The sequence below is a fragment of the Homo sapiens genome, chromosome 8, assembly GCF_000001405.40.
Source record: "Homo sapiens chromosome 8, GRCh38.p14 Primary Assembly".
Lineage (NCBI taxonomy): Eukaryota > Metazoa > Chordata > Mammalia > Primates > Hominidae > Homo > Homo sapiens.
The window spans coordinates 86,095,060-86,121,476 of NC_000008.11; the positions used below are offsets into that span (position 1 = coordinate 86,095,060).

Sequence of the window (26,417 nt, forward strand, 5' to 3'; positions counted from 1 at the left end):
TACTCAGGAGGCTGAGGCAGGAGAACCGCTTGAACCCGGGAGTGAGAGGTTGCAGTGAGCTGAGATCGCGCCACTGCACTCCAGCCTAGGGGACAGAGTGAGACTCCTTCTTAAATAAATAAATAAATAAATAAATAAATAAATAAATAAATGTGATTACAGTGGTTTTTGTACAATAGTCCCTCCTAATCCACCCCAACGGATGCCAAACTCTTTATATACTATGTTTTTTTCCTGTACATACATACCAGTGTAATTTAAAGTTTATCTATAAATTAGATGCACTACTCTTGCACGTTGGGTCCATTATTAAGTAAAATAAATGTTATTTGAACACAAAACAACTGCCTTGACAGTTGGTTTGATAATTGAGATGGCTACTAAGTGACTCACAAGCAGGGGGTGCCTACAGCCTGGAGGACAAAGGGAGGATTCATGTTCTGGCTAGGGCATAGGGGGCTGGCGAGAGAAAGATTTCATCACACTATTCAGAATGACACAAAATTTAAAGTGTATGAATTATTTATTTCTGGAATTTTCCATTTAATATTTTCAGACTGTCATTGACCATGGATAACTAAAACTGTAGCTTCCTTTCACCAAGTACTTAGCACACACGCCCACCTGTGCTAAGCATGCTAAAGATTTTATCTTATTTAATTTTTGCAACAACCTATGAGGCAGGTGTTATTATTTCTATTTTACGCATGAAAACACTGGCCATTAGAGAGATGGAGCCACAAACCCATGCCTGCCACATTCCAAAGCCCACTCTCCTGAACATCATTGGTAGTTTAAACACTGGAATGACAATTTTATTATGTTTTCACCATAAGGACCCATTTATAAAGAAACTCCAGATCTTGTCATTCTATTGGGTTTCCTCTCATCTCTTGTGAGCTTGATGGCATTTATGACGAGTACCTTTAGCAGGAGTGAGACATTTTTGCTTCTGCCAGGCGAGAAGGACAATGTGAAGGGAAGGGGAATACTTTGCTGCCTTACCCATCAATTTCATAATAACAAAAGATGTGGGTGACTATTATTTTAAAGATGCATTGAAATTGTCACTACATATAAATGTAAAATATGGCAAATTGGAAAGTTGTTTTGCACACACAACAGCAAAATTCCTTTTTTTTTTTTTTTTTGAGCATGTTGACGTCCAGGACTGGCTCTAGGCAAGACTGTGAAGAAGCTATGGTGTGCACATTTAACAACTGGCTGTCCATAAAAATGTATGGCATGTTTATTTTAAATTTTACTGATGCAAAGAATGTGTCTCAACCAATTTATAAGCAACAGTAAAATAATACTTTTTTTTGAGATGTGCTTTCACTGTGTCACCCAGGCTGGAATGCAATGGTGTGATCTCGACTCACTGCAAGGTGCGCCTAGCCAGCTCAAGTGATACTCCCACCTCAGCCTCCCAAGTAGCTGGGACCACAAGTGCACACCGCTATGCCTGGTTAATTTTTAAAAATGTTTTGTGGACACTGGGTCTCACTATGTTGCCTAGGCTGGTCTCAAACTCTTGGCCTTAAGCAATCCACCTGCCTGAGTCTCCCAAAGGGCTGAGATTACAGGCGTGAGCCAGCCAAAAAAATACTCTTTATTGTAAATTCCAATTCAATAGTCAATTGATTTTCACAGAATGCTTTCATTGATTTTTTTGTTTGTTCAATTCTTCTATCTGTACCCAACCTATACTTGGAATTGACAAATAAGTGAATATCCAACATAAATGTTGGCTAATATTTCTATTTACATTAATGAACAATATGAAAGTGAAACAACGAAGACATATGTAAAACTTCTCTTGATCTTCATAAAGGGAGTGGCTTCCTTGCTGAATCAGATAACAGTTTTTAAATACTGAAAGAACATTTCTTCAAATTTTTTTGCAATTTACAATATAATGGCTATAAACATTACATACTTTTACTTTGCTTTATTAACATTTTCTCCATCTTTTTCTCAAGTCCAGACAATTAACCAAACAGTGAATCAAGCCCTGATTTGTAGCATTTGCCCATTTTCATGGTATAAATACTTCATTCCTGCCATGGTCTGCTGCAAGCTACCGTCATTATGTCATTAAACCCGGAGTTGAGAAGAGATGCATGAGAGCATGTCATTATATAGAATATCTACCTTACAAATACAATAGACATAATAACCTCAAGTGCATAAATAACAGTAAAACATAGTAAAATAATTTAAAAAAGATAAGTGTGGTATTTATAATTTATTTAAGTTGTATTAGTTTGAACTCTATAAAACTGTGGATATGTAACCATCTTTAGACCACAGAAGTGATAAATAAGTGACTGATTCAACATAAAACACACTCAGGATGTTTAAGGATGGTGGAATTGTGGTGGGTGGATAGAGAATGATAACAATAATGGCAGCCTCTACTATTTATTGAATACTTTCAAAGTCTGGGCACTGTGAAAAGCTAGGTTTGATTCTCTGTGATTTTCAACAATCAAAGCAGAATTTACATTGATTCCTTTTTATCTAGCTTCTCCCAAACAGTTCGGAAAAACCCTGATAGAGACTGGAGAATTTCTGGGACTTTAGTTCCAATTAAAGATTTGACACAATATATATGAAACACTTTATATGCAAATAGCATTCATGATATTTTACATAATTTTTTAACTAAATACAATATATAGCAGAACAAGCACTCCTTTTGGAGTATGAAACTCAACACAAGTCCCAGCTTCATTAAATACTTACTGTATTGCCAGCTGTGCATTTTGAGCTGCCTCACAGCTTCTGAGGGCTGGTTCCTTATTTGTGATTTTAGTAATAATACTGTCTGTGCAGATTCACATTGCAGAATAAACAGGAGATTCAAGTAGGAAAAAGAAAATAGAGTGCCTTCTAAACAGTCCAATTTTGCAGAGGTAGTGGCTTATTATTATAGAATCATAGCCTTCTGTATCTGTTTCCAGGATTGTTTCCTGGGCTATGCCCTTCGACTGGCTGGGAAGCAACTACCAGCCTTTGGCAATTTTAGGGCATTTCTGACCATTTGTCTTACAAATGAACTGTGTGGTAGAATTAGGTTCTCATGACTCTTCAAATTGCCTAGTCACATTTGATTTACTTATATTATAATAATAATGATAATAATAATTATCATTATTATTTTGAGACAGAGTCTCACTCTGTCCTCCAGGCTGGAGTGCAGTGGCACAATCTTAGCTTACTGCAACTTCCGCCTCCCACGTTCAATCGATTGTCGTGCCTCAGCCTCCCGAGTAGCTGGGATTACAGGCATGCACCACAAAGCCTGGCTAATTTTTGTATTTTTGGTAGAGACGAGGTTTCACCGTGCTGGCCAAGCTGGTCTCCACCTCAGGTGATCTGCCCCGCTAAGCCTCCGCAAGTGCTGGGATTACAGGTAAGCCATCATGCCAGCCTAAATTAAATTATTTTTATTAAAAACCCTCTCTTTGTTCATATTGATAGTCCTCAAAGAATTTTGGATTAGTGTAAATTACAGTTGAAAGCTCAGCTGGTGGTAGGAATGTTTACAAAACATTCAGGAGTTTGAAGCCTCCCAATAGTAAAGCTGGGAAGGGTCCCATCTGTGGGAGAGTAAGAATTGAGCCTGGATCCTCCCCTGACTCTCATATCTCTTTTTCCCAATCGTGGTTTGTTGCCTGGGTTTACTTGGGTCATCTGGCTGATTCATTGTTGCTGTATAAACAGGGCTGAGTGTGCTGTGTTGAAAGCCACTGAAACCAGAGGAAACTAGTCACAAAAACCCTGACTATCACCTGATAGATTGCTTGTGCTGCCTGATAATTACTCGCACTTTTCCCAGGCTAGTGCAAATCTTCAGGGGCCGTCCAGGACTACAGAGCTGTTTCACCCTACCTTGGCTTCAATCTCTTCCCCCATGCTCGAAGGTGCGGAGCTGTACTTCAACGTGGACCATGGCTACCTGGAGGGCCTGGTTCGAGGATGCAAGGCCAGCCTCCTGACCCAGCAAGACTATATCAACCTGGTCCAGTGTGAGACCCTAGAAGGTAAGTGTAGCTCTTCTCACCCTTTAAAAAGAAAAAAAAAAAAATGAAATGATGTCCCTCTCCAGAAGCATGGAGAAAAAAAGCCCATAATCATATGGTTTGAGAGTTCTGAGCAGATCCTTATTCCTGCAGTCCAGATTTCTGGGGTCCATAAACTTGAATGAGGAAAAAAAAATAAATCTCTATTTTTAATCTCTAAGTGAACTATAACATCTTTCATTACTAATGTAGGCAACAAATCACAGTAGTTGAGATAAGTAGTATCTGTGACACTGTCACCAACAAAAATTCAATGTTTTCATATCCCTTTAAAGTTCTTGCAGATACCTTGAAATGTCATGTATGTTTTCTCTATTTTGAAGTAAGATACCACACTCATCCTTTATTATTTATTTATTTATTGAGATGGAGTTTCACTCTTGTTGCATAGGCTGAAGTATAGTGGCGTGATCTTGGCTCACCACAACCTCCGCCTCCCGGGTTCAAGCAATTCTCCTGCCTCAGCCTCCCGAGTAACTGAGATTACAGGTGCCCACCACCTGGCCCGACTAATTTTTGTACTTTTTGGAGAGACGGGTTTTCACCATGTTGGCCAGGCTGGTCTTGAACTCCTGACCTCAGGTGATCCGACTGCCTTGGCCTCCCAAAGTGCTGGAATTACAGGCGTAAGCCATCATGCCTGCCAGATTCTTATACATTTTAAAGACATTTTGACAACTATATCTAAAAATATTTGGTTTCCTTTATAATCCTGTGTATTTTCATTCTACATATTTATAAACATTTGGAGAAGGGCTTCACCAAACTGCCAAGGGATCTATGACAAAGAAAAAATATATATATTTAAAACCTTGTTCTATAGAATTTTATTCTATCACATTTCTCAGTATCTATTGATTTGAGAGTTTGAAGTCTACCTTTAACTGAAGTTAAAAAAAAAAAAAATCAAGAGCTGTTACTGGTGGGGCCAGCCCTGGATTCAAAAGTCCTGGATTTGACTTCTGTCATGTCACCAGTAGGTGACCTGTGGCTCCAAGCCTCTGAGTCTCAGTGTTCTCAGTTATAATAAATAAATACTCAACAAGTGGAAATTGTCTCTAAACCACATTTTTTTTTTCAAAACCTTACCAAAGATTCCACGTCTGTAACAGTATTTTTATTATTAAAAACAGCTACACTCACTGATTTTGAAACATACTTACAAAACCCATATAGGTCAATAATAAGGTGGTTTAAAGCTTCCAGATTATTCTAGAAAAGGCAAGAAAGCACTAAGAATAAAGCCTCCTAGGAAGGGTATTAAAAGGCAAAAACGAACCAATGAACCTTCTAAAGGTGACTTTGCAGTCTCCTCAATTAGGGCTGAAGGGTCCTGAGGCCACTTGTTTATAGTTCTGACCAGTTAAAGCCAGAGTTCAGACAGAACCACCCAAGTTACGACAAACCCTGCACTTCCATTAGCATTGGAAACAGCAAGAACCTTTTAGATAACTAATTCTGTTGGCTACAAATAATTACAGTAAAACCCCAAATCCTAAGTCACTTCAGCATATTAAAATAAGAGTTTGGTGACTGGAGAACGTCGGTCACGTATAGAAAATCTACATAAAATAAAGAACACAGGGCTGACTAAGTGTTTCTGAGAGGAGACATTTTAATGAATTCTATTTAGTTTTCAGCCAAGCTCTTAAATGAGCTAAGGAATGCAAATTTAAATGCAAGGAATACATAAAATATCTTTGTGATACCAAAAAAAAAAAAGAAGGAAACAAAAAAAAGAATTCAGAGATAAATCAAGGGAAGCCATATCTAAAGCCATATAAAGAATTCTAGGCCTGGAGAGGTGGCTCATGCCTGTAAAACCCCGTGTCTACTAGAAATAGAAAAAGTTAGTTGGATGTGGTGGCAGACACCTGTAATCCCAGCTACTCAGGAGGTTGAGGCAGGAGAATTTCTTGAACCTGGGAGGCAGAGGTTGCAGTGAGCTGAGATCATGCCACTGCACTCCAGCCTGGGTGACACAGTGAAATTCTGTCTCAAAAAAAAAAAAAAAGAATTCTAGAAAATAGGTCGGGTATAGTGGCTCATGCCTGTAATCCTAGCATTTTGAAAGGCCTAGGTGTGAGGACTGCTTGAGGCCAGGAGTTCAAGACCAGCCTGAGCAACACAGCAAGACCTCGTCTCTACTAAAAATTTTGAAAATTGGCTGGGCATGGTGGTGCATGCCTGTAGTCCCAGCTGCTTGGGAGGCTGTGGCAGGAGGATGGCTTGAGCCCAAAAGGTTGAAGCTGCAGTGAGCTGTAACTGCACCACTGTGCTCCAGCCTGGGCGACAGAGTGAGACCCTGTCTCAGGAAAAAAAAAAAAAAAAAAAAAAAGAATTCTAGAAAGTAAAAAGATAAAAATCAGGAATTTAAAAATTGTACCCTATATTTTCTGCCAAGGTCCCTTTTAATCAAAAGACTTGTCGAGGGAAGGGGATAGATAGAAGGAGGAAGAAATGAGATTAACAGATCTATCCTCTACATAGACAGTTAGCTGAATCTGGTATCTTCATTTTCAGTTTGGGACAGAAGAAAAGGTTTCAATCCCTCTCAAAGACCTCAAGAATAAAGCTTGTGTTTAGAAAAACATACATAAGCAGGCATATGCAGAATTTTCCATACAGCGTCAGGGGATGAGAAACCACCTGAAGCCACCCCACCTGTGCTCTACTGCTTTATTGTCATTGTGTCTCATGATTTCTAACTCTCTCTCTTCCCAATTCTCAACTACATTTGAATCTGTGTGCCAATCTACTGTTCAGAGACTCCCAGAAATATCAAGCATGAATCATCAAACCATGTTTAGGTTATCATGACTGCTGAGAAAACAAATCTAAACAAGAATTTCATGTCCTCTGTTAGTTGAGGACACTGGGGCTTAGAATGGCTGTGACCACCTAACACGCTATTGGTGATGGAGGATGGATAGAGCTATCTGTGTCTCCTTTTCCACAAAAATATGCCATTGCCTCCTGAGTATAAATTGAAGATATATGAATAGGTCTGTGTGGAGTTGATGTCCACTCCATTTTGAAACAGAAAATAATGACTGCTCTACCTGATTATTTTATAGGATGTTGAGAAATAAATAGTGTGTGAACAGCAGTTCAACTGTTGCATCTGTGAATGTACTTAAGGAGACTCAGTCTGCCCCAAGCTAGATTCAGAGCTGAGAAGAAATCAACTTGTTGGAATAGAATCCTAAAGGCTTAAGGATTTTAGTTTACTTTTGCACAAAATATACACCATACAAACTATGGATAAACAACAGGTTACACTGTGCCATTCCAATACTATATGTTGAAGCAGGGACTTTCTGTAAAAGAAAAACTAACTTGGCCAAGATTAAATTTGCTTTCAGTCTTTTTAAGTCATCTGGTCTTTAAAAGGAAAGTGTTCTGATAGCAACAAATTGTTTTAGAACAACTTGCAAGGAACATAATAAGGTTTTGGGTAAATTTAGAAGAGAGAAAAAGATCATCCAGCAAAGCTTTGAAAAGTGTTAGTATTCATAATTGTGCTTAATTGTGTGCATAATTGGGTTAAGTGTAGTAAGAAATACCCATGTATTCTGAGGCCTGCCCCTGACTAATTGTGACTTGATTCAGATCTCTGGATCCACTGTGACTCAGTCTTTCCTAGGTACAGAAGAAGGAAATTAGTTCCCATTGCCTTTGTCACTGGTATTGCTTTAAAGTTGTATCTATAAAGAAATTTTAGGGTCTTTAAAAGTGACTTTGAACCAAAACAATAACTTTAAAAGAGCATATTTTAAAAACTAACACTACTGCTTGCATCAGAATTTTTAAAAATTACAAATAAGACTTTTGGAAATATTCTTCCCTCCTCAAAAAAGACAAAATAGTAAATCAATACTTAAAGTTTAGTAGTAAATAATCTTTTCTAAAACATATGACAACAGTGTCCACTGGCTCTCAAGATGTGGGAGGTCATTCTGGATTAAGTCTTTTTTTTTTCTTTTTGAGACGGAGTTTAGCTCCTGTCACCCAGGCTGGTCTCCAATGGCACGATCTTGGCTCACTGCAACCTCTGCCTCCCAAGTTCAAGTGATTCTCCTGCCTCAGCCTCTCAAGTGGCTAGAATTACAGGCATGTGCCACCATGCCTGGCTAGTTTTGTATTTTTTTTTTTTTTTTTTTAGTAGAGATGGGATTTCACCATGTTGGCCAGGCTGGTCTCAAACTCCTAACCCCAGGTGATCCGCCTGCCTTGGCCTCCTAAAGTGCTGGGATTACAGACGTGAGCTGCTGGCCTGGATTAAGTCTTTACTTTGTCCTTGACACAGTTTGTTTAGAAGGGAATTAGGGAAGCTGATTATATCTCACTAACAATGGTGCCCCCCTGTCAAGGGGCTTGAGCTTCAGAGCTTCTCCAGCAGTGTCTTCAGGTAGGAATTAATTCAACACCATCTAGTAAGTACTTTCTAGCTAGCGCCAAGAAAGTAAAGATGAACAAGATAGAGTCCCTGCCCTAAAAAGGATCCTACCTGGAGAATAAAAATATTAGAAAAATGAGAACCCCTTAAGGATGGCAATTGGGTAGTACCTACTGAAATTCCAAATGCTTATACACTTTGTCCAGGAATTCCAAGTCTCATAGACAAACTTACACACATGTGAGATGACAGCTATACAAGGCTCTTTATGTGGCATAGTTTTTTGTTGTTGTTTTTGAGACAGAGTCTCACTCTGTCACCCTGGCTGGCATGTAATGGCACAATCTCGGCTCACTGCAACCTCTGCCTCCTGGGTTCAAGTGATTCTTGTGCCTCTGTCTCCCGAGTAGCTGGGACTACAGGCGTGCACCACCATGCCTGGCTAATTTTTTGTATTTTTAGTAGAGATGGGGTCTCACCATGTTGGCCATGACAGGTCTCAAACTCCTAACCTCAAGTGATCCACCCACCTCAGCCTCCCAAAGTGCTGGGATTACAGGCATGACCCACCGCGGCTGGCCTTTTATGTGGCATAGTTTGGAATAGCAAAAGATGGAAACAAATCAAGTGTCCCTCTGCAGGAAATAAGTTTTCATTTTTTAAAATTTATTTTTTTAATAGAGACAGGGTCTTATGTTGCCCAGGCTACTCTCAAACTCCTGGGCTCAAGCAATCCTCCCACCTTGGCCTTCTAACATGCTGGGATTATAGGCCTGAGCCACCACAACCAGCCAGGAATAAGTTAAATAAGTTATGGAACATTCACATAATGGAATATTCTGCATTTAAAAGGAAAAACGCATGAGGAAGCACTCTAAAAGGAGAAATATGGAAAGATTACCAAGATACATTAAGTCAGAAAAGCAAGGGGAAGAACCAGGTGTGGCATGGCACTCTTTAGTAAAAAGTGGGATAAATTTTAAAAATATACTTCCTATATGATTACCTAGCTACAAAGAAACTGTGAAAGGATTAAAAAGAAACTAAAAATAGAGGTTACGTGAAGCTAGGAACGAGTGGCAGGGGGTGGTGGGTAGGTGAGTGACAAGCATAGGGACCTGTCACTGTTTACCCATATATACACCTATTACTTATTTTTAATTTCAAAATAACATATGGGAGGATGACTGATTTCAAAGAGCTTTCTCTTTGCTTCCTTAGACATTATTTGTACCTCTAATTATAGCACTTTTTCTGCCTTATATTAAAAAGACATATCCAATTCTCTCCTGTTTAAAACACATACACACACACACACACACACACACACACATCAAGAGCTTCCATCAGGCAAGATAAATGATAAATGACAGCTTAAAAGGCTGATCCACCTTGTAAGCCCTTCGTCAGAATGTTTTGCCTTTTCTAGAGCTGCACCTTCAATCACAAATTCCATCCCTTATCCCATGTTCCTGGAAAGCGACCATCTCCCTTTAAAGTCTTCATTTAAGTCACTTCCTCTGTAAGCCCCTTCCTACAGAATCTATCATGGGATGGAATTGACAAGCTTCAACTTTAGCTCCACGGTACCTTGTAATGAACCTAATCCTGTATAACATCTGTGACATTTGCATAGATGTGTCATCCTGAGGCAGAACATTTGCCTCGTTTGTCTATCTAGCTCCAGAGGCTGCTGCAGTTACAGGCTTAACTGATAAATAAATATATAGCTCTATCTGCCTTATTGCAAGCTTTTTTATTTTTATTTTTTAAGACGGTCTGGCTCTGACACCCAGGCTGGAGTGCAGTGGCATGATCTCAGTTACTGCAACCTCTACCTCTCCCGGACTTAAGCGACCCTCCCACCTCAGCCTCCTGAGTAGCTGGAACTACAGGCACAGGCCACTGTTCCTGACTAATTTTTGTATTTTTGTAGAGACAGGGTTTATTCATGTTGCGCAGGCTGGTCTTGAACTCCTGAGCTCAAGTGATCTGCCCACCTCAGCCTCCCAAAGTACTGAGATTACCGGTGTAAGCCAGCGAGTGCCTAGCCTGTAAACTTCTTTTTTCTTTTCTTTTTTTTTTTTTTTGAGATGGATTCTCTGTCGCCTAGGCTGGAGTGCAGTGGCGCGATCTCGGCTCACTGCAAGCTCCGCCTCCCAGGTTCATGCCATTCTCCTGCCTCAGTCTCCCGAGTAGCTGGGACTACAGGCACCCACCACCACGCCCGGCTAATTTTTTATATTTTTAGTAGAGATGGGGTTTCACCGTGTTAGCTTGGATAGTCTCGATCTCCTGACCTCGTGATCTGCCCATCTCGGCCTCCCAAAGTGCTGGGATTATAGACGTGAGCCACTGTGCCTGGCTGCCTGTAAACTTCTTAAAGGCAGAAAGTACACCTTAAACTTTTCTCTCTCCTACCTCCCTAAGCCTAAGAGTGTATTTTGCATGTAGTAAGAATCTGAAAATACACACTGGAAATATCTACATATTGGGTTCAAGTCCTGGATCTTCTGCTTTATGGTTCTGGGATTCTAAGCAAGTGCTTAACCTTTAACATGGTGCTTTTTTTTTTTATTTTTATTTTTTTATTTTGAGACAGGGTCTCATTCTGTTGCCCAAGCCAGGGAATGCAGTAGTGGGTAGCGTGATCATGGCTCAATGCAGCCTCAATCTCCTAGGCTCAAGTGATCCTCCCACCTTAGCCTTTCAAGTACCTGGGACCACAGGTGCATGTCACCAAGCCTGGCTAACTTTTTTGTCATTTGCAAAGACAAGGTCTCACTTTGTTGCCCAGGCTGGTCTTGAACTCCTGGCCTCAAACAATCCTCCTGCTTCAGCCTCCCAAAATGCTGGGATTACAAGCGTGAGCACTGATAAGTGCTTTCTTATCTCATCTTTAGATGGTATCTCCGTGGCCTAACTCCCAGTTCACTGGGAGGATCCAAAATATCTGAAGATGTTTTGTAAATTGTAAATCTTAACAATACACCCCTGCACTGTAGTTTACATACAACAAGAATTTGTTTTCCCTCTTCTGCTAGACTTTGGAATTCCTGAAATAGTTCTTTCCATTTTATGGTTTTGGATAGTGGCATTTGGATATGAATCCATTTAGTTTATTCTGTTCTTCAGAGAGCACCAGTTTTGAAAATATTTATTTTGGTAAGTAAAAATTAAAATGAAGATTTTCAACCCTAGTAAGATTTACTGGACTGTATAATGAAGTTCTGTGGGGCCACTGCTACATGGATCTTAAGTTTTAATCACAAATTAATATTTGAGGCTCATTTATGTGGCAAAAAAATGCATTTGGAGCTGTGGAGAGTACAAAAAAGAACAGGCTGGATGCAGTGGCTCATGTTTGTAATCCTAGCACTTTGGGAGGCCGAGGCAAGAGGATTGCTAGAGGCCAGGAGTTCAAGGTTGCAGTGAGCTATGATTATGCCACCGTACTTTAGCCTGGGTGACACAGCAAGAATCTGTCTAAAAAAAAAATGACACCATTTACTACCTAGACAACTGTGTAGTTGATAGGATGTCACAAATAAGTAAAATGAGATAAAAATTCAGAATCCAAAAATGGTTCAAACCTATTGATAGCAGATATACTTGAAGGTGAACCAAATCTTGAATAATAGATTGATAAAAGGCCATGAAATGGGGTTTCAGGAGGAGAAGAATTGAGATGTCAGGACATTCAGCAAGCAGATAAAACAAATGAATTTAAAAAGGGAAAAAATAAAAGCCTGTGGATGGGGAGTATATCAGTTAGGCTGCAATACTAGAATACTTGGAGAGAAGGCTGGAATTCAGGCTGGGAAAACTCTGAAAAACCTTGAAGGTTTGATTTGAAGTTTCAAGATCCTGACGCTAACACTGAATGAGGACAAGAGTCAGGTATGATTCTCAGTTAACTACTTGCCAGCGTGGAAAACAGGAACAAGTTACTTCTCTGAGCCTCAGTTTCTTCATCTATGAAATAGGATTATTGTTAAAGTTAAGAGATTATGTATACTAAAACCATTCTGGCAATGGTAAAACGCTCTACAAATTTTATAAAAGTTGTTTTTAATCTGCCTAAAACTTTTCAGTGGCTGCAAGCTATTTTTAGGATCATTACAGTACCAAAACAATTCTTAGGAAAGATTAAACTTGAGGCGGGGAGCACATGAGGAGAAATGAGCCTGGGAAAATCGATTCAAAGATTGCTGCAGTAATCGAAGTGCCAGATGTTATTCAAAACGGGAGTGAGCAGCAGAAATCAGGGAAGAAATGCAGGGCATTTGGAGTAATAAAGCACCAAAGAGGACTTTGAAGTTTCAACACCCTGAGAACGGCAATATATTAGCAAAAATGGAGAAAGAAGTGTCTGGTTGTACATCTTCCGGTGTATTTATTAAAAGTCTGAGTAATTACCAGATTTGATGGTTGATTCCAATATGTTAGTTGGAAAAATTCTGGTTTAGAGGATAAAAGCTGAATTCCTTAGCAATTTATTTTGGAGATAGGTGGGTACAATTGAAAAAACAATATTTTGTGGTGGATTCTCTATGCTGGCTCTTTACCTACCTGAATCATCTTTTTTTGTTTGTTTGTTTCTTTTCTTTTTTGAGACAGGATCTCACTCTATTTCCTGAGCCAGAGTGCAGTAGCTTGAACACAGCTCACTCCAGCCTCCACCTCCCAGGCTCAAGCAATTCTCCCACCTCAGCTTCCTGAGTATGGGGACCACAGGCATGTGCCACCACACCCAGCTAACTTTTTTTTTCTTTTGTAGAGTTGGGGTTTTGCCATGTTGCCCAGTCTAGTCTGAAACTCCTGGCCTCAAGCAATCCTCCCACCTTGGCCTCCCAAACCCCTTGGATTAGAGGCGTGAGCCACTGTACCAGACAACCTTGTTTAATCCCCAAAACAACCTGAAAGCGTAGACTATATCCATTTTGTAGATGAGGAAACTGAGTTCGGAAAATTCAGATAATTTCCCTAAGTTCAGCAGCAGCAGAGTGTGGGGAAAGGCAGGGGGCTGCTTGGATAGAACAGTAGATAGTCACTTCTCTTTATTTTTAGTAGAGACGGGGTCTCCCTATGTTACCCAGACTGGTCTCAAACTCCTGGGCTCAGCAACCCTCCTGCCTCGGCCTCCAGAGTAGCTGGGGTTACAAGCATCAGCCACCACGCCCAGCCAAAAAGGAATTTTCTAAAAATAGTCTGCCAACAAATTAGTAGACAATAACCATGAAGTCTAACTTCCCTATAGCCAAGTGATCTCAGATAATTCCCTTCATGCAGTGACCACAACCCACAGAAAACGCATGTTTATATTATGACTCAGTGCATACATTCAGGCACACATTCACACTATGTGATAGACTCTATTTGTTAAAATGGTGTAATCTATTTTTTTTATTCTATTGCTGTGTGGCACCTATTAAAGTGATTTAGTTGGTAGTGATCCTACAGTTTGGAATATATTCTATTTTCCTTATTTTAATAAAAAGGAAAAAACACCATTTGCCACTCTACCTTTCTAGATAAAAAGTAGTGTAATTTTCCCAAGTGTGCTCTGTGGGCGGCCCATTGTTTTTTAGTGGCTTGGGAGGTTCTGTCCCTTACTGTTTTCAAAGAAATCACTTTCATGTAGTAAAGGCTTTTAATTCCTACAGTAAAGAAGCTTGTGCCTTCCAAATTTATTTTACCATAAAGTCTTATTACTCACACACCTATTTAGATAAGCATTTAGGGAAATGTAGGAAAAAAAATTCAGTGAACTCATTTTGAAAAGTATAAAACTATGAGTACTGTTGTTATTATTGACAGTCTATCATCATCCCAGAGTGCATTTCAGACCCTCAGATTCTCTTGGAATCTGAAAGCAAGCATCCCTTGGATCATTTTAGTGCTGGGGAAGAGAGGTTCCTTCTATTCCACTTTTCACTGATTACAGTATTATAAGATTCCTACAGGGTATGAAACACTGAGACATTTAATTTCAGGATGTCCCTGGCAGCTGAAAGGTTTGAAAGTTATTTAGCTTGAAAGAAACATATGTCACATGAGCAAAATATCATGGTTTTGAAAGAAATACCATTTGTGTCACTTCTGTTGGCAAATATTCCTTGGTGCTGAGAATTCAAACTGTCAAGTTGCATAAAAATCTGAAATGCCAAAATGAAAGCTAAATAAGGCATGGCAACAAAGTAGAATTGTTTTAAGTTAATTAAATAGGTAATTGAGCAAATAAATTCTGCTGTCAGATGAACAGCATTTACGATGCAAAATCTACTCCAGACACTGAGGAAGACTGCAAGAACCACATTGTCCCTAATTGCAGGTGCACCCTCCCCCAGCTACCAGAGCAATCCATTCATAGCTCGCAGTGGCTTCCTGTTATCTCAGGATAAACATGGCATACCAAACCCTCCCTAGGACAGTTCTGCTTATTTCTTTGGCTTCAATTCTCACCTCCCCTTCTCTACCACTCCTTTAAAATTGACACATAAAAATTGCATATATTTATCATATGCAACATGATGTTTTATTTTATTTTATATTTTATTTTTTGAGACAGAGTCTGTCATTCCTTTGCCCAGGCTGGGGTGCAGTGGCGCATTCTCAGCTCACTGCAACTTCAGCCTCCCAGCTTCAAGTAATTCTCATGCCTCAGCCTTCTGAGTAGCTGGGATTACAGGCGCACACCACCACACCCAACTAATTTTTGTCTTTTTAGTAGAGACGGGGTTTCACCATGTTGGCCAGGTTGGTCTTGAACTCCTTACCTCAAGTGATCCACCCGCCTCAGCCTCCCAAAGTGCTGGGATTACAGGCGTGGGCCACCACGCCCAGCCTATGGTGTTTTAATATATGTATTAATTGTGGTATCAACCAAAATTAAGTTTGTTGAGGCAGAAATAGTTCAGTAAAGGTTTATTGGAAGCCAAATGTAAGGACTGATCAAGGAAGACACAGCAACAAAGCTGTGTGTGTCCCAGAGTCTGCTGCGAGTTGGAAGGCTTTTAAGGGAAAGTTTAGAAGAACAGAGGAGGACTCTTCATACTAGAGTTGTCCTTTTCATTGCAGGTCACAATACAGAGGTTACAATCACTGGCTACAGATGATATACAGGCTAAAATGTCTACGTGCAAGACAATCAGTAAACTTCATGATGCAGAAACCAATCACCAAAACTTGATGATTTGGAAACAAATCAGTGTCCTTTTCAGTGCCAGTAGGTTATGTATTAATCAGTACATTAAAAATTTGAGGGACTCACGGTAAGATTCTTTACTCTGGGATAGGACAGGACAGGACAGGACAGGACTGGCATCATAAGACCTCCGCCAGGCAGGTAAATTTGGAAGCCTGCCCAATGTGACCTACATGTTATCAATCAAGTGAATTAACAAGTATGTGAATTCACATACTTATTTTTTGTGGGGAGAACACAAAATCTACTCTTTACATGATTTTAAAAATACAATAAATTGTTATTTACTATAGTCACCATTTTGTACCATAGGTCTCTTGAAGTTATTCCTCCTAACTGAATCTAACTGAGTTTTGTATCCTTTGACATCTTTCCAACCCCTCACCCTCTCACTTGTCCCCCACTAAGTCGTTTTTTTCTTTTTTTTTCTTTCTTTTTTTTTTTAAATGTAGAGACAAGGTCTTGCTTTGTCACCCAGGCTAGAGTACAGTGGCGAGATCATAGCTCACTGAAGCCTCGAGCCCCTGGGTTCAAGAGATCTTCCCACCTCTGCCTCCCAAAGTGTTGGGATTACAGGCATGAGCCACCACTGCTGGCCCACTCCTTGCCCTTTGATGACCACTACTTTACTCTCTACTTCTGAGTTATCAAAATGAAAGATTTCTTTCTTTTTGAAGGCCGAGCAGTATCCTATGGTATATTTATACCACCTTTCCTTTGTCCATTCATCCATCAATGGGCACTTAGCTTGATTCTATGTCTTAGCTATTGTGAGCAATGTTATAATGAATGTAGGAGTACAGATATCTCTTCACCATACTGATTTCATTTCCTTTGGATATATACCCAGTAGTGAGATTGCTAGATCATAGGGGGTTCTATTTTTAATTTATTTCTCTCCCACTTAATACTTCAGCAACACTGAACTGCTTTGAGCTCCTTGCACACAGCATACCTGTACTAAGTCATCGAATGCCTGCCTCTGTTCTTAATCTTTCTCCCCTCTTCCTCCACTCTTACATAATATTCTAAGGCTCATCTCCTTCAAGACACTTTCCTAGGCTTCTTGCTCCTATCTTTATGGATCTGGGTCTCATTTTCTATGTTCCCATAAATCAAGGACCTTATCTTTATCACTAAATTAACACATTGTTTGAATCATTTGTGACTGCCTCTTTCTTTACCAAACAGTGGGTTTCCTTGGGAATGAGGAATATTTCTGGTCTATCTTTGGGTCTCCTGTAGTTGGCAGCACATAATAGATGCTTAATAAATGTTTGAGTGGAAGATCCAATAAGCTCCATATGTGTGCTGGATGTTGCCAAGGACATTTTAGATACTCAGATATGCAATAACACTTACATGTTGGGTTCTGCATAAGGAGTCACAGGTAAAAGATATAACTAAGATAGTGTAACTGCCTTCTGGGTTAACATGCTTAAGACTATATAATATCCTATAATAGGTGTTATGCTAGAGGTTTTATCAGAGTACTTTCAAATTCAGATGCATGAGAGTGAATAATTCTGCCTGAGATAATTAAATCTTTACAGAACAAGTGATAATCTAATTGAATTAGTTGGCAATAAAATAAAGTTTTAAGTGACTTTGAAGTCAGGAATACCTGGCTTGGAATCACAGTTTATCTACGTGAGATTTTTAAATTTTTTAATCTATGTGATCTTGAACAAGTTACTAACCTCTCTGAGCTTCAGTGTTCTTATCTGTACAAAGGCATAGAAATCATTTTTACCTCATAAAATTGCCATGAGTATTAAATGAGATAATACAAGTTCAGTACAATACCTGGTACCTAATAAGCACTCAATCACTGGTAACTATTATTTTAATGTTACCAGTAGGGTAACATTGAAGTGTAGATTATAATAAGCCAATCTGAAAAGGGGTGGGGGAAGAAATTCTAGAGTGGGGTTGGGTCAGCATTTACTGAAGTATGGATGCTAGAAAATACATGGTTTGTTCAGGAGGAAGTGACAATCAACAAAGCTGAAATTCAGTTCAATCCAATTACCTGGCAACCAAAATGGATGACATTTAAAGGATGCATGGCATGGTCTGGTGGAAACGATGCTGGGTTATAAGAATAAGGGGACTAATCGCCTACTTCAGTCTCATTAGATAACTCCACCATTTAGTCCCACTGAACTTCAATTTCTTCGTCTGTAATAAAAGGATACTGAAACAGAGCACCGATGGCTGCCCGTGCCACCTGCCCCCACACCCATGGTAGCTACTACTAATACATTTATCTTTTCCATCAAGTTGGGATGGAGCATTTGTATCCTCAACAGTTTCCCAGGTAGCTATCTCCAAAAGACTAAAACCTGTTTGCCATCTGTGGATTAGGTGTTTGTTAGGTTTTTTTTTTTTTCAGATCTGCTAAATAATACCAGATTTCTTAGTAATTGAAATATTTTGTGAGGGCCAGGCACAGTGGCTCCTGCCTGTAATCCCAGCACTTTGGGAGCCTGAGGTGGACAGATCACTTGAGGTCAGGAGTTCGAGACCAGCCTGGCCAACATGGTGAAACCCTGTCTCTACTTAAAAAAATACAAAAATTAGCCAGGTATAGTGGCACACGCCTGTGGCCCCAGTTACTTGGGAGGCTGAAGCAGGAAAATTGCGCGAACCCAAGAGGCAGAGGTTGCCGTGAGCTGAGATCGCACCACGGCACTCCTGCCTGGGCTACAGAGGGAGACTCCCTCTCAAAACAAAAGAAAAACACATTTTCTGGTGTGCTGGATTATCCATATTCACATAACATTTTTGTTGCTTTACAGATCAAGTCTAAATCATATTTAGACCTTATATTAAAATCTAATAAGATAATACATATGTATGTAACACAAAATTAGCATGAATTCAACTAATGTTGAAAAAGCTATTTGTGTATGTTCAAAATTTAACCTGAATTGGGGTTTCATTTAATTTCAGACCTGAAAATTCATCTCCAGACTACTGATTATGGTAACTTTTTGGCTAATCACACAAATCCTCTTACTGTTTCCAAAATTGACACTGAGATGAGGAAAAGACTATGTGGAGAATTTGAGTATTTCCGGAATCATTCCCTGGAGCCCCTCAGCACATTTCTCACCTATATGACGTAAGTGATGACAGAAAGCCCTAATAAGCCCCAATGTACTCGTGCGGATGACCCCTAACAATTACAGGGTGGGTATCAAGCCAGAGTGAGACTTAAGACCTTTTCCATTGTTTGTAAGTTTAAATTCATTCACATTTTAGCAACTGATAAGCTCATAGAGCCACATTTTTGCATTAGAAAATGGATTTCATTGATTTATAAACATGATTATATCAGCGGTGGTGGCCTCCATCTAAAGGAATCTTTTCAGTTTTCATTTAAAAAAAAAAAGTGTTGCCAGTGTTTAAGGTGTTAGTACTGAAGGTAAATGTTATGTGACATTCTTGGATCACTTTTCAGGGTGGGGTTGACAATATCTCAAAGTATTCATAAGGTCACATAAACCACTCCTAATTCCCTTTGTAACAGTATAAGTAGCAGTTGTGAAAGTTATATATGTTTTATTTTTATCCATCATCTGTGGTTCCAATTGTGCAACACATGAGCTCCTCATTCTACAAAATATTTGGGGCCGGGAGCTGCGGCTCATGCCTGTAATCCCAGCACTTTGGGAGGCCAAGGTGGGTGGATCACGAGGTCAGGAATTCGAGACCAGCCTGACCAATATGGCGAAACCCCATCTCTACTAAAAATACAAAAATTAGCCAGGCGTGGTGGCACTCCCCTGTAGTCCCAGCTACTCGGGAGGTTGAGGCAGAAGAATCGCTTAAAGCCGGGAGGCGGAGGTTGCAGTGAGGTGAGATTGTGCCACTGCACTCCAGCGAGGGCGACAGAATGAGACTCTATCTCAAAAATAAAATAAATTAAAAAAATTGAACTCCCACATAATAGTGAACTGCACTTTTATGACACCAATTAATAAATTTTACTTAGTGCTCAAATGGACCATTTGAAATAAGCTTATGCCCTTTCAGCTCTCCTAGCTGAAAAACTGGGAACAAAGACACACAAATAAATGAGCTGTGTGTTATGTAGATAAAATGTAGATGTAAAGCACAAAGTTCTGAAGACTAGGTCCAAGCCCAGGTCTGGTGCCTGGCACTCAGGCGTCAATATATTTGTGGAAAGAAAATATCAATGAAAAAATGCTGCATAGTATAAGCCAAAGATTAGTCAAAGGGGAACAAAAGAACAGGACTTCATGTCAAACACTGTGCTCAGTACTAGAAGTAGGAAATTAGAGACATGTTATACGAATACAGGAAACTGGGCGTTGGCTGTATGAAAGCATGGCTTTGGGAGACAATCTAAGATTTTTAGAGGCAGATTCCAAGAAAATATAATAAGAGAAAGCCTGGAAAAATAGAGGGCAGAGACTCCTTCTGAAAGAGCAGAGCAGTTTCAGCCTCTGTCTGGTTGAACGATAAAATGATGGCGCTGCCTCAAGGAGCAGGGAATGAAAAGAATCCGCTTATCTGACCAGGAAGATGATACTCCCTCTATCCTTCTATTCTTTCTTTGTCCTTCCGTATCATCCATTTTTTTTTTTTTTTTTTTTTTTTTTTTGAGACTGAGTCTCATTCTGTCGCTCAGGCTGGAGTACAATGGCGTGATCTCGGCTCACTGCAACCTTCGCCTCCGTGGTTCAAGAGATTTTCCTGCCTCAGCCTCCTAAGTAGCTGGGATTGCAGGCATGTGCTGCCATGCCCGGCTAATTTTTGTATTTTTAGTAGAGATGGGGGTTTCACCGTGTTGTCTGGGCTGGTCTCGAGCTTCCAACCGCAGGTAATCCTCCCGCCTCAGCCTCCCAAAGTGCTGGGATTACAGGTGTGAGCCACCATGCCCGGCCTCCATCATATATTCTTCCACTTTACAAATGACAGTATCTCTGCCCTTCAGTCCAGTGAACAAGAAAATGGAACTAAGAATATCCAAATATACTTGCTGAGCTGAACAAAGTTAAGTGGACCTTAACTTCTACACATGCCTTTAATTTCAGGGGAAAATAATATGTCAGTCAGAAAGATTTCTCACACTATAGCAGATATTCCTTGGCATCTAAATACGGCAAACAGAAAATATTCCATGAAAACAGACCTGCATTCCTAGGCCTTTGGCACAAAGGAAAACCAATGCAAATTTCCTATTATTGACAGTGGGCAAGAGCAGAAGTAAAGGAAGGCTCTTCTGTTTGGAATTTCACATCGCATCATACAATCTGAGGATCAATTTTACTTAATGAATAATATCTTTAAGAAAAAAAGAAAAGTAATTAAGGGACATGATTACAATCTTTCAAGAGTTCAGAAAAGCATAAAATAAAAATATCACTCTGTGTCTACATTTCCTCTTCTTCCCCACTCAGTTTCTCTTCCAAAAGTAACCACTTCTCAGTTTCTTATGTGTTATTCCAGAAAAATACTTACATGTACGTGTGTCTATTGCTACACACTCTCCCACCCACACATTTCAAATTTATACAAATGGAATCATATTCCTTCTGTACTTTTTTCCCACTTAATATTTCTTAGAAATATGCTTGTGACTGTCATTCTTTTTATTTTATTATTTATTTCTGTTTTTACAGACAGAGTCTCACTTATTGCCCCGGCTGGTCTCAAACCATCCTCTCACCTTGGCCTCCCAAAGTGCTGGGATTATAGACGTGCACCATCATGCCTGGAAAACATCATACTTTTTAAATAACTGCATAGAATTGGCTATATGTGTCATGACTCCATTTACCAATCATTTATTGACAAGTAGCTAAATTATTTTTATTTTTTCCGCTTACAAAAAAATTTGCAATTAGCTTATTTCCTACGAGATTAGACGAGATCAGGCACGTTCAGGGTGGTATGGCCGTAGATCAATTAGCTTATTTCTATGCAGGTCTTGAACTTATTTCTAAGCTCAGTTTTTAGCAGTGGAAGTAGTGAGTCAAAGGAATGTGCATCTTTATATTTTAGTAAATATTTCTAAGTTCTCAACAAAGGTAGCACCAATTTTAACCCCCTACAACAACCTGTGGAAAGACCTGTGTCCTTTTACCATTACCAACATTGGATATTTTCTTTTTAATTTTTGCCAGTCCAATAGGTTAAAAAAATAGTATCTCTTTGCTTCAATTTATATTTCTTCAGGAGTGAAATTGATCATTTCATATTTATTATTTATGTGGATTTGATACAGGACCTAATTGTCTATTTTTGTTAGAGTTTTCAGCAGTTTTTAATGACATATAACAGCTATTTGTAAATTAAGAAAGTTTAGCCCTTCATAATATATGTTGCAAAACTATTTTCTTTGTGTTATATATTTTAATTTTTATAATGTTTGTGGTTTTTTGCTGTGGAAACATTGAACACTTTTAATTAGCTATACTCATCAATGTTTTCATTCATTGCCTTCTGGGTATTTTATTGTACCCTGTTTAGAAAGGCCTTCACTCCAAATTCATAAATAAACCCACTTGTCTTTTCTTCTATTTATTTGTTGTTACACATGTTGCTTCATTTTTTACATTTAAAACTTTGGTCCATTTTAGAATTTATTTTCGTGTAAAGAATTAGACTACAGATCTAGCTCAAATTGTTTTCCCAAATAGCTCTCCCTTTCTACTCCATTTCTGTAAGTAAGCAAGTAGAAGAAAAGACCATAGGTCAAGGAAGGAAGGAATTGTGGATATACCTGAGGCATGACTTTAGTGCGGATGTTTCTTGTTTGCCATACTCAGTCCTCCTATCAGCGCTATGGGTTAGGATAATTCCTTCCATGTTACTTACAGGCAAGACACAGATGCTGATGTTTTCTAAGAATTCACAAATATACATACAGCTAGTCAGGAGTAGAGATTAGATATGGACTTACATAGGACTCAGTTCAGGGATTCTGGAAAACCTTCCCAGAAGGGCTGATGTTACTGAGCCTGGAAATACGGTAGAATTTGGCAATACGGGAGAAGCCTTAGCATCCGGGTCTGAAACATGTAGATGGGAAGGTTGTTCCATGCGTGAGGAACAGTTCAGTTTTGGCTGGAGTGGGTGTGCCATATAGGAAGGAGGAAGTGGGGAAACGAGGCTGGAGACGCAAACTCCAGTCAGATTATGGAAAGTCTTTGATGCCAGGCTAAGGAAGTTGAGCCTTATCACATCAGAGTGTTTTTCTTTTCTTTCTCTTTGTTTTCTTTCTTTCTTTCTTTCTTTCTTTTTTTTTCTTTCTTTCTTCTTTCTTTTTCTTTCCTTCCTTCCTTCTTTCTTTCTTTCTTTTTTTTTTTTTTTTTTGACGGAGTTTCACCCTTGTTGTGTTGCCCAGACGTGAACCTCCGCCTCCCGGGTTCAAGTGATTCTCATGCCTCAGCCTCAGGAGTAGTTGGAATTACAGGCGCACGCCACCACGCCCAGCTAATTTTTGTATTTTTTTTTATTTTTTTTAGTAGAGATAGGGTTTCCCCATGTTGGTCAGGCTGGTCTTGAACTCCTGACCTCAAGTGATCCACCCGCCTCAGACTTTCAAAGTGCTGGGATTACAGGCGTGAGCCACCGCGCCTGTCCGCAGAGTATTTTTCAAGGTTGTGTGTATATGTGGTGTATTTTGTTGGTATCTGCAAGGCCCTTCCTAAAAAGTAAAAACCTTAAGGAGAAACCCAAAATGTAAAAGAGATGAAAGAAGATGCCAGGATTACTCACAGAACGTATTCCTCCTCCCAGTGATGGTTGGGAGGAAGTAGAAAGTGCTTAGGCTTTGGGCTGAGTCAGATCCAAATTCATACCTAATCTTCAATAGCTGGCATGAGAGAGGCTCTGCAAGCAGTGGTGCCTCCTGCAAAAATACCTGGCATGGATAATTATGGAAACAGTAAAGATTCCTGAGCTGAAGGACAAAATGGCCCTAGTTGTGTGGAAGGAAAAATAACAATCAATATACTAGACAACATTTACAGAATATTACAATATGCCGGGGACTTTATTAGGTTGGAAAGCTAAGTGCTTTACAAATATTACCTCATTTAACCCTCCTGACAAGTCTTACTCAATTCTTACCATCACCATTCTAAGGATGAGGAACCTAGAACTTAAGTGCAATAATCTGCCCTGATCACAGATCTAACGAGCGGTGGAGTCATGATTTGAAATAGTTGTTAGCAGTAGGCTTCATAAAATTATTTTGCTCAGATTTTAGTTGAGTTCAGAAAATCTGACCATGACAGTGACAGAGGGCAGCCCAATTTTATCTGAATCAGAAAGCTGCCAGGGTTTGTACTTTGGGATTGGGAAACAAATCTCATATAAAGGCAATGTGCCCAGAATACACTGGGAAATGCTCTAGTTCTAAAAACAGCTGTGAGTCCTTTGGTCAAAGGTTCCGCTCACTGATGATCCCACAGATTTCTTGTTTCCTAATCATAGGATCTTTTTTTTTTTTTTTTTTGAGATGGAGTCACTCTCACCCAGGCTATAGTGCAGTGGCGCAATCTCGGCTTACTGCAAGCTCCACCCCCCAGGTTCAAGTAATTCTCCTGCTTCAGCCTTCCAAGTAGCTGGGTCTACAGGTGCACACCACCGTACCCAGCTAATTTTTGTGTTTTTAGTAGAGATGAGGTTTCGCCATGTTAGCCTGGCTGGTCTCAAACTCCTGACCTCAAGTGATCTACCCACCTCGGTCTCCCAAAGTGCTGGGATTACAGGCAGGAGCCACTGCCCCTGGCCCTAATCATAGAATCTTAGACATGGAAGGAAACTTAGCATTCATTAATTAAGCAAGCATCCTTATTTCACAACAAACTACTGTGTTACAAATATACTGTTTCTAAAACAAAAATAATTACTTAAAATTTTAAATATTTCTAGTTATAAGCAGTATTTTTAAAAATTATGTACAAAAATACAGATAATCACAAAGCCCAGGGTGGAATGCTAACACAAAATTAGAATTGGAAAGGTGGTTTTGGTAGTATCAGTATTGTTACTAAAGGATATATTTTAATTTATCTACTCTTCCTATTGGCTATACATGCTTTGAATTAGTGCTTTTAGTATCTCTGTCTGGACTCCCTATTACCTAATGGGCATTGAATATTTGTTGAATCAATATAGAATCCTGCATTCAGCAGTACTTTACACGGAGCTAGAAAAATATATCCAGATAACTCAGCAGTTTATATTTTATATAGCACTTGAAAATTAGTTTTTTATTGACCATTATGTTAGGGGTAAAACTGGATGTCATGCCTGCAGATACATTTTGTGAGGCCAGCTCAGTGTTTTAAAAAATAACTTTTAAAAAATACACTTTGAGCCAGGCACAGTAGCTCATGTCTGTAATCCCAGCACTTTGGGAGGCCAAGGTGGAAGGATCACTTGAGGCCAGGAGTTTGAAAAGCCTGGTGAACATAGTGACACCCTGTCTCTACAAGAGAAAAAATTTAAAAATTAGCCCAGTGTGGTGGTACATACCTGTAGTCCCAGTTACTGGGGAGTCTGAGGCAGGAGGATTGCTTGAGTCTAGGAGATTGAGGCTGCAGAGCCATGGTCATACAACTGTACCTCAGCTTGAGTGACAGAGTGAGACCCTGTCTCAAAAAAAACCAAAAACAAACATACAAAAAACACTTTGAAGTCAGGTGTGGTGGCTTGCACCTGTAGTCCCAGTTTCTCAGGAGGCTGAGGCAGGAGGATCATTTAAGTGCAGGAGTTTGATTCACCAGCCTGGGCAACACAGCAAGACCCTGTCTCTTTAAATAAATAAATTAAAAAAATTTTTTGTCAAGGCTGCATTCTTCCATTAGCCACAGTCTCCAACACTCTTGTATTTAAGCTACTTATCAGACCCCTGAACATATTTACTCTGACTTAAATGTTTTACCTTCACCTCTACACAAGAACCCTGCAAAACAGGTGTTTATATCTCCAATTTTAAAATTACGGAAATGGAGTGTCAATGAATTAATGCATTTTCCAAAGTTACAAAGGTAAGAGACATGGAAGGGATTCCATTCCAGGTCTATCAGTCTAGCAAGATAATGATCTCACCACTGTCCTCCTAGTTTATAATAAGGCAAACAAATCAGAAATATCTGTCGGTCTTCAAAAACCACTCATATTCTTGACCCCTACTTCAGTAGATTCTGATCTAGTTGGCCTTGGAATGGAGCCCATGTGTATTTTTGAAGGCACCCAGGTTATACTGAGGTGCACATCTGATTTAAAATGTTTAATCAGGGGGCCTCAGATTGATTACTTGAAGGTGACTTTCACAAATACTTCCATGAGTTTCTGTTGACAGTTACCTATACAGATAGCATTATCTCCCTGTCAGAGACTAGATAGCACCAAAGCCTAGGTCTTCTGAATCTCCATCCATGATCTGTCCCATCATGTCATGTGATGTCTTGTGACTAGCAACCCTGGCAGCATTCAGTTGCTGTCTGTAGACCTTAGAGGTTTATTACAATAAGAAATGATATATGGCCAGACACAGTGGCTCATGCCTGTAATCCCAGTACTTTGGGAGGCCGAGGTGGGCAGATCACTTGAGGTCAGGAGTTTGAGACCAGCCTAGCCAAAATGGTGAAACTCTGTCTTTGCTAAAAATACAAAAATTAGCCAGGTGTGGGGGCGCATGCCTGTAGTCCTAGCTACTTAGGAGGCTGAGGCG

General features: G+C 39.6%; 1 protein-coding gene across 1 annotated transcript in view; it reads left to right on the forward strand.

Annotated features, from left to right (window-relative positions):
• Positions 1-3,850: 3,850 nt before the first annotated feature.
• The window catches only part of ATP6V0D2 (ATPase H+ transporting V0 subunit d2), a 55,316-nt gene continuing 32,749 nt past the window's right edge, over positions 3,851-26,417 (forward strand). Inside the window, exons 1-2 of the mRNA NM_152565.1 lie at positions 3,851-4,049; positions 18,650-18,821. Coding sequence (NP_689778.1) covers positions 3,920-4,049; positions 18,650-18,821 — 302 coding nt within the window. The 5' untranslated portion in view covers positions 3,851-3,919. The remainder of the gene's footprint in view (positions 4,050-18,649; positions 18,822-26,417) is intronic.